Source organism: Homo sapiens, chromosome 4 (genome assembly GCF_000001405.40).
Source record: "Homo sapiens chromosome 4, GRCh38.p14 Primary Assembly".
In the NCBI taxonomy this organism is placed as follows: domain Eukaryota; kingdom Metazoa; phylum Chordata; class Mammalia; order Primates; family Hominidae; genus Homo; species Homo sapiens.
Window position 1 is genome coordinate 30,458,929 of NC_000004.12, and position 9,322 is coordinate 30,468,250.

Below are 9,322 nucleotides of genomic sequence, written 5' to 3' on the forward strand. Positions count from 1 at the left end.
TTAGTTTTTATTTTAGTGAGGAAAATGATCACCTAGGATCACTTTAAAGTTTCATAGCACGTAAACATTTTGTAAGATTTGCAAGATCCGAATGATAATGATTAAAAGCTTGGAACTCACTTCCTACTTTATTTATCATTTACAATGTCACTTTCTTGACAAGTGTTTTTAAGTGCCAAATATGGGACTTTGGTAAAATGCTGGTCTTCTTTGAAGCATTTACACTCCAGAAGGGAGGATAAAGCATGCACTTACACACTTTACAACTTGCAACTCAAATTTGGAATATAGAAACACAGTTACATATCTCACATACGTGTTTTACATGTCTGGAGTAGCAGAAGTCCAATACATCTCTTTCTGAATCTCCTACTCATTTTGCCTCCTCCTGCAAATAAGTTATCCAAAAACGACTTGGATTATTCAATCCAAGATGTCCATTTTTGCCTTCAAGTTCTCCCCAAAAATAAATAAATAAATAAAATTTAAAAAAATGAAGGATCCGCTAACTTCACTAGGTGGCTTTCATTCTACTGCACTTTTTCTGCCACTCACTTGGTTTCCAAGTTGCAAGCAGATAATTTCTATTTCTTGGAATGATGAGCCTACTTCTGGAATAGTAATACACTCTTTGAATATAGTGAAGAGAGGCAAAGAGGTTTCATCCTGGTATTCTCAGCTGTTGTCACTTTCAATCCTTCCATCGGTTACAACTATTTAATCACTGGTGATAGTACAATCACCTATTATTATAATTTGTGAGAATTATCTCACTCAGTCAAAAGAACTTCCTATGTACTCTTTAGCTTACAGTTATATGTTCAGAAATTATTCAGAAGCACGCATTCTTCCATGGCCACAGCCTTTATTCAGAACTATTTCAAACTATCAGGATGGTTCTGATCACACTAAAGCTCAAAGAGAAATAGGTCATCAGTTTAAATTGAATTTGCTCCCAGGAAACTTTTTGGCTCCAAATGTCCCATAGATTCCTCTGAGGGAAAGCTCATATTTCAAGTCTTACTAGAAATGGAATTCTTCAGTAGGCCACCAACAATAAATGTGTTACTCTATTTTTTCAGTAAAATGGGTGACTACTTATAAATACATGATGAGAAGGATTCAATTAAATGATTCTTTCACGAATAAAAATATCTTTCAAGGTTATTTATTATGGTTTCCACCTACACAATTTTAAAATGGAAACTGAGCTAGTAAAATAAATAAATTAGATGATGATGATGATGATAAAGATAGAGACATAGATGATAGATAGATAGATAGATAGATAGATAGATAGATAGATAAACAGATAGATAATAGAGAGAGTAATAGAGAGCATGGCTCTATTTTTTTACTTTCTACTAGTGACAACTTTTAAGTCCCACCTCTCTTCCCTTCTGTCTCACATCCAGGCAAACTAATAAGAAAAGCCAGGTGATCCCTCGTTTGTTAGGTCCAAATCACACAGGCCCCTTCCCACATGTGAGAACTTTCACCTCTGCCCCACTTAACCCTAATAAAAAATGCCAAGCAATGTCTTTTTTGTGTGTGCTCTGTCAAGCCATTTTCATACCTACTTGCTAGCTTCCCTGCTCTTCCCAGAAAGTCTCATTACAGGAGTAATCAATCTTTTCATACCTTATTGGAGTTTGAGTGTGTCAGCATCAGTCCTGACATTTAAGTCAAATTTGGGGTGGGAGTCCACCCTGCTCTGCAGGGTAACCCCAACAGTTGGTACTGTGAGCAGGATCTCTGAAAGATAATCGCCACCCAAGAAGAAATCTTTCTTTTCTTGCTTTTGTTTGCTAACTGACCCTGCTGTGTGCAGGTTAGCTTGTACTTTGAACAGTGCAGCTTAGAGCTGCATTTGCTAAATTCTACTAAGCATTGCTTATAGATATCACTGACCTGTGTTTTAATAGTTGGCATTTAGGGACAAGAATATGAGAATAGGGCCCTCCTTAAAGTGGCCTCAGTTCATGTGTCTTGGCCTGCTAAAGCTTCAGTATAAGCCTTCATCAAGACGTTCCTTATCTGATTCATAGTACTAGATATCACTGATAGTAACCAAAGCAACCATTTATTTCACTTCTCAGAATACACAATACTGGGCCCTCTCTCAAGGTATTCAGCAGAACTTGCACTTCTCTTACTCACCTCAGGCTGCTTCCCTTATAAAGCACCACAATCGCTTACTTAACTTCAAATTCAATTAAATGAAAAAAAAAAATGGCACACTTAGGTCGCCAAACATGAAAAGTAAATTGTAATAAAGAGTAACTCCATCTTTTGACATTTGTTTGTCGATAGCTTTTAAGCCTCACCCTTCCCTTTTCCCCTTCTGCCCCACATTTAGGAAAGCTGATAAGAGAAAGCCCTGGTATGCCCTCCTTTGGCGCCAGTGGGAGGCTCAAAGCACAAAAGCTCCTTCTGTTGCATGGGGTCCCTCACTCCAGCCCATCCCCCGACCACAGTGAAAACCCCAAACCTGCTCTCTCAAGCTATTTTCAGATCTATCTGGGAACTCCCCCGCTTTCCCTAGAAAGTTTCATTATGTGACTCATAAAACTTTTCATACCCTCCAGGTGTGTGTGGTGGGGGGCGTTGTCAGTCTCAAAATCTAAGCCAGTTTTCAGTAGGGTTCCATACTGCTTTTGAAGGATGGTCACTATATATATATATATAACACACACACACACACACACACACACACACACACACACACACACACACGTGGATAGGGGGCCAGATAGACAGATTGATGACAGAGACTAAAGTCAAAGAAAATCCACACCTCTTTAAAGATTATGAGAATATCAGCCTGAACTTCACCGCATTTGTTATATAATTTAAGAAATATAACATATTGGTGTACTCTAGACCAGTGTCAATGGTAATGTGCCTGTGAATCACCTAGGAATCTTGTTAAAATGTAGATTTTAAATCAGGAGAGCTATGGTCGGGACTAAAATTCTGCATACAAGATTATAGTGGGTTTTCAAACCTTGATTAAGGAGGGTTCATGGGAGATGTCTGATTCACAGCCTGATCAATATCACATACACTGGCAGATAAGTAACTTCCTCCTAAAAGGTTGAGAATTGAAAGAAGGTCAAAAAAATGAGGTGGATGGGGAGACATAAGAATAAATGCTGTGCACAAAATAACTAATGCACATTCCACTTGGAGAGTAAATGTCTTCGGTTGAATAATACCTTGATGAACTGATTTATTTCTTGTTGAAACTTCATTTTCCTCACACACTAGCAGTTATCCTTCCAAAAACTCAAAGCCCATGCTTAAGACTACTATCGTTGAGAAAAACTACGCCGTAATATCCAGACAGTCCAATGTGGGAAAGCTTGTTTCTGCTGTCATGCCACACAGCCAAGCCAAGAAATAATGTCTGCAAGCTGGGAGCACAAACCTGTGGGTGATTGTTTTGGTGTCTGTCAGCTTTAGTCTTCCTTTCATTGTGATGTCTCCTTAAAAATTTCAGTTCCTATTTGCCTCAGCCTATGTTTCTTGTCAAACTCTTCAATATCCCAAAGTTGGTAGGATCTTCCTGAAAATGATCACGGATATACATACAAGATAGCATAGATGTATAGGATCTATTTCATTTGCAACCTTATGTGCAACCAGCATACAAACCATATGATTTTGCTGATGTTCACATAATTTTTGCTTGTAGTGTTAGCTTACGAAACTTCTGCGACATTGTGTGGGGTCTTTTCCCAATGTTTATTTCTATGCAACTCGCCACATTATTTTTTTCTGCTATTGTTAGTGCTTTCATTAATGTTTGTTTAGGTTTCCCTTTTTAATCCACAGTAGGAACAAGTTGTCGATTCCTAGATTGGGTTTTTGCTCTCTGCTGTGCACAGATTGGGAGTGTAGAATTTCTAATGAAGTCTCTTCATGTTTACTTTTACTGTATGCCAAATGATGAAGCTTTATTATAGCAATTCCCTTGCTCGCTTTAAATACTGTCATCCTGCACAGCTCAAATGTCTGTTGGACTACAAGGCCTTCACCAGTTGTTAAATATTTGAAATTAGATGGTTTGTTTATTAAAGGCATTGGGTCACAGCTAATCATTGAAGCTGTTTCTGGGTATTTACATTATTTATTCTGTGGAAGCTCTTCATATACACATACGTTAAAGTGTACGTTTCTGGGATTATCCTCAACACAATGATATTGAATAAACATTATTTCGATTTACTTTATTGACCTTCACTTTCTCATTTAAGCATATTTTCTCTCTGCTGCACGAGGTTCATGTCGAACGAGTCAGTCTTACTGATAACATAACTGGATGTGGACATACTGGGAGGCTTGCTATTATTTAGACTTGGCTAGGTCCCTATAACTTTGTCACTTCAAAATTACATGCATACTTAATGACATTCATTTTTCTTATTGTACCCATTACAAAGGATCCTTGTAATTTTTCTGTCATTAAAGAGGGAGCTCTTTGTTGTATATAAACATAAGGGATATGGTTTTTCATTGATAATCCTGTCTTAACTGAACATTTTGCATTTGCCTATAGATATTTCCTTAATAATATTCTTCGTATTAAATATTCTTTCCAGGTCATCAGAACTCATGCTGTACAATAAAAACTCCCTAGTCTAGGATTTTATCTTTGTTTCTTTAACACATTTTTATTCCTGGCATTTAATTTACTTCTACTGCATTTTAGAAGCATATTTAATGTTAAAACTTATCAGTGAAGCAAATGAAATCAGAGTACAGAGATGTGGCTTGAAAATAGATATTGGTTACATAATGTTATCTTTCCATTCTGATGCCATAAGTGATCATAGAGCTTTCCTTGTTATACGACTTCAGAGAAGAGACAATACAGTAGAAGAAAGTGAGGGAAAATAGTCTTTCAAGCAATGTCCTCCTGATAGTCCTTTTCTCTAATCAAAAGAGAAGAAATCTCTATATTTTTAAGTTAGAAAGAAAATTCACTACAGCAACTTGACTTTTCCCAGTGGCCCCATTTGTGGAAATATAGTGAATATTTCTCATAGCTATGATTCCAAATTGAGGCCTCAGACGTTAAAAAAAAAAAGTTAAAAGCTTTGGATGTCTTCTCTTCAAGGATCTAACAGTTGTAAAATTCAAATACAGAGCCACATAATCAAAATATCAGCCTGATTAATAGCATCCGATTAGTAGCCAATATTTAGACTTCCCTGAAAATGTTTGGATGGAAGAACACTGCTTAGCCCCTTATCTCTTGCACTATACTGAATACAGCCAGGAATCCAAGAGACAATCTTATTTTACGTACCCAGGTAAAGCAGGAAAGTTTCTCCTGCTGAAATAATACCTGTCTCATGGGCTTTTTACAGAATTTGCAAGCATTCATAGTGCTTGGGCTCAGGCAGGTCTAGCAGAAAACAGGGGTAAAGCGGTAGAGGGTTAAAGTCAATACAGCTTGTCAATGCGTGAATACTGACCTTTCCCTTATAAACAAAGCTGAGTAGAGAAAGACAGCCAAGAATGTGTCAGTTTTCCAACAATTAGAAAAAAATCATTACTTTTTCCTTTATGAACTATAAAAATATAGGTGGGTCAAATGTTGAAAAATGTTTTATTCTCTCTTCATCAGGTGAAAGACATCAGTGGAGAAAGAGAATAGTTCGCCCTAATAACACTCTTTTCTCTGTATCTAAAGGTACAACTCAAAGATTATTTTCCATTGAAGTTTTTTCTTATAGTTTCAATTGCAACTGCATAAAGCTCACTATGCCAAAGACACTGTCTTAGGTGGTGTTAGGGCTCCAGATCAGAAAAATATAAAAGTTGTGATATCAGAAATTATCAAATACAATTATTTAATTTAAAATATAAAGAAACCAGGCCATAAGCCACTAGTTGAGTGCTTTCTTCTGTTCAATTTCTTTTCAATTGTTATTTATTCTAAAAGTCTGGCAACTTCAAGGACTTTGGTCCTGAGTCTTTATTCTGCAAAATCCCCAAGGCAGTCAGTAGCAGCTCACAGTATACTAATTATGTTCATGTAAGAATGGTATGAACCAGCTTTCCAATCCAAATGGAATTATCTCTTAGGTCATGTCATTATTGTTGGTTCTTGAACCCACTTTAAGTACTAACAAGACTTTAAAGCTCAAATAAAGGCATTGGTCTTTCACAGGAAGAAGAATATTGTGGGATGAAGAAGGAGGAAAAAGTTGGATACAGATGAAATCTGGACCATAGATTTGGTGATGGAAAGATGGAGAATTTCCAATTCTGGAATTTGTCTTCTAATTTGTCAGTACGTGTGACACAGAACCACATGTAAGGAGAAAGAGAGTGAAGATTTAAGATTGGGGTTAGTGGGAAAGTTAGCAGATAAAAGACAGTGTATTTTCTAGGCAGAAGATTCCATTTGCAGTTGATTTTCACTAATTTTCAGTACAGTCCATCAGCCTCAGTTGTGTGACTTTCTCCAACAGTTTTCTAGCGCTTCCTTTCAGGAATGGAGAAGAAGACTCTTATTTTAAATGAGTTAAGTTCTTCCAAGTGTATGTGATATAGGAAGAAAGAGGATAGTGAGGGAATACTATTAGGAAAAGAATAAATAATAATGAATCATGGAATCTAAGTGGCATATGGAAGCAAATGTAGACAAGTGGGCTACAGGGTTCTCAAGAAGTCATATAACTGAGGGAGTGAAAGTACTATAGCAATAAAACAGTAAGAATAAAAGTTTGAGGCAAAAACCGTGTTTTACTTTGTACACTTATCTATTGTTTATGGCATAGTGCAAAGTATATAGAAGATTTTTTAAAATGCTACATATCAACTAATATTTTTTCGAATAAAAAGCTTAATAATTGTGAATCCTAAATCACATCTCTATTATTATTATTATAGATAAATAGTTGATGGGCACAAATTACTGCTTCTACTACTATTATTACACTACTGAAAATAGCTAATTTATGATAATTAGTCAATGTTCTCCAGGGAGGTAGAACCAATGGGATATAGATAGATATATAGAAAGAGATTTCTTATAAGGGATTGGCCCACAATATTACGGAGGCTGGGAAGTCCCACAACCTGCCATCTGCAAGGTGGAGGCTCAAGAATGCTGGTGGTATAATTCCAGTCCAAGCCCAAAGCCTGAACAATCAAGGAAGCCAACAGTGTAAGTCCCAGCCCAAGTCCAAAAGTACAAGAGCCAGGACCACCAATGTCCAAGGGCAGGAGAAGATGGTGCCAGATCAAGCAGAGAGAAAATTTACCCTTCCTCTATGTTTTGTTCTATTCAGCCCATTAACAGGTTGAATGATGCCTGTCTACATTGGTGAGAGCGATCTGCTTTACAGTCTACAGATTCAAAAGCTAACCTCTTCCAGAAACAGCCTCACACATATATTTAGACATAATGTTTTGCCAGCTATAGGAGTATTTCTTTGCCCAGTCACATTGACACATTACATTAACCGTCACATGTAGTAACAGCTAATAGTTTATAAGTATCTGATTTGGGGATTCCTGACTCAATAAATCATCTTATTTAGTTATATAAATTCATTAAAAAACAAATATTTATCAAGTGTCTAATCTGTCAGATTCAGTTGTTGGCACTAGGATCATAATCTCATTTTATTTTTGTATAAAAACAGAAACCCAGAGGATTTTAAGTTTTGATTTGAAGTACATATTCATGTGGTTTTTAATCATGCCATGCTAGAGCCACTGGAGAGCAACAATTGTTTCTCAGGATATTAATGTGCTTGCCATAACTCAGGTAGTTCATGCATTTATGTATTCTATGGTCTTTATTCTTTAAAAAATGTTACTTGAGCATTTTCATGTACACCTCATTGTGCTTTATATCATAGACAAATGTACTAACATGGAGGAGATATAAGTAAAATAATAAAGTGGCCTTCTTTGTAATAAGCCTTCAGCAATACACACCATTCTTTAAAGTATGTGCTTATAGTCATATTTTTCCTGCCTATGTTTCTTTTTTTTTTTTTTTTTTTTTTTTTTGAGACGGAGTCTCGCTCTGTCGCCCAGGCTGGAGTGCAGTGGCGGGATCTCGGCTCACTGCAAGCTCCTCCTCCCGGGTTCACGCCATTCTCCTGCCTCAGCCTCCCAAGTAGCTGGGACTACAGGCGCCCGCCACTACGCCCGGCTAATTTTTTGTATTTTTAGTAGAGACGGGGTTTCACCGTTTTAGCCGGGATGGTCTCGATCTCCTGACCTCGTGATCCGCCCGCCTCGGCCTCCCAAAGTGCTGGGATTACAGGCGTGAGCCACCGCGCCCGGCCTCCTGCCTATGTTTCTACTTCAGATTTCTCCTTCATAGACTCTGAGGTGGAAAGAAGCAAGCTACACCAAAATCAGCTCATTTGAATTGCAAACATGCTAAGGGAGTAAAAGTCTGGTCAAAAAAAATTGTGCAAAATAGTTCTGAGCAAAAGTGCTGGCATTCTTCAATAATGATATATGAACCAAGGTTTTGTTACCACAGTATTTGCAATAACCAAAAAATTTGGAAGTAGTCATTGATAAATGATGGTTTGAATTAAAATGTTATATTCAAATAGGAAAAACTGTTAGAATTTAAAAATAATTAGGTATAGTTCTATATGTTATTAGTGGATAATTCCTATGACAGGTAATTAATTGGAGAAAAAAACCAAGATACAAAATAAAATGTATTTGTGTACAGGCCAAGTGTTAGTTATGGTGGGTAGAGTGAAGGAGAAATCCTTCTGTCAGTCATTCTGTCAGTCAATAAATAAATATTATATTCTGAGTTCCTGGTGCCACTGTTTAAAGTGCATACATTGTTATCAAGGAACAATTTAGGCTAAAAAACAAACAAAAAGAAAAACATACACAACAATACCTTCCCAAACTGTGTCTGTGGATAACCTTTAATTTAAACACGATCATATTGTTTACATATATTACTTGTATAAATCATGTCACTGAAGTGGTCTGCAGGACCCAAATGTGTATGTAGTTCAATCACATTGATTGATCATATTCATCATAAAGTTGCGTGCCTAACTTAAATTAACAGGAGTAACAGAAGATGACACATGACAAAGAATACAAAGTTGAATATCTCTTCATATGCCCAGATTAGAGTCTTAAACAATTGACTCTAGAAATAATTCCAGTAATGTGTCTTTGATTGGGTTACATTTAGCTAATCTCAGAGAAATTTTGGTTTACAGATTTTAGTTTTCAAATTGAACCAAAATGATATATACTTTACAGTAACAAAAGGTTTTAAATGGAAAGGCCTCCTCAATATCTGTTC

At 36.6% G+C, this 9,322-nt stretch overlaps 2 annotated features.

Moving 5' to 3' along the window:
* Positions 1,847–1,986: an enhancer, noted in NCBI's record as "active region_21402". NCBI's record gives its function as "activates an Ori minimal core promoter by ATAC-STARR-seq in GM12878 lymphoblastoid cells {active_cell/tissue: GM12878}" and the evidence as "EXISTENCE:reporter gene assay evidence [ECO:0000049][PMID:35858748]".
* Positions 2,427–2,636: an enhancer, noted in NCBI's record as "active region_21403". NCBI's record gives its function as "activates an Ori minimal core promoter by ATAC-STARR-seq in GM12878 lymphoblastoid cells {active_cell/tissue: GM12878}" and the evidence as "EXISTENCE:reporter gene assay evidence [ECO:0000049][PMID:35858748]".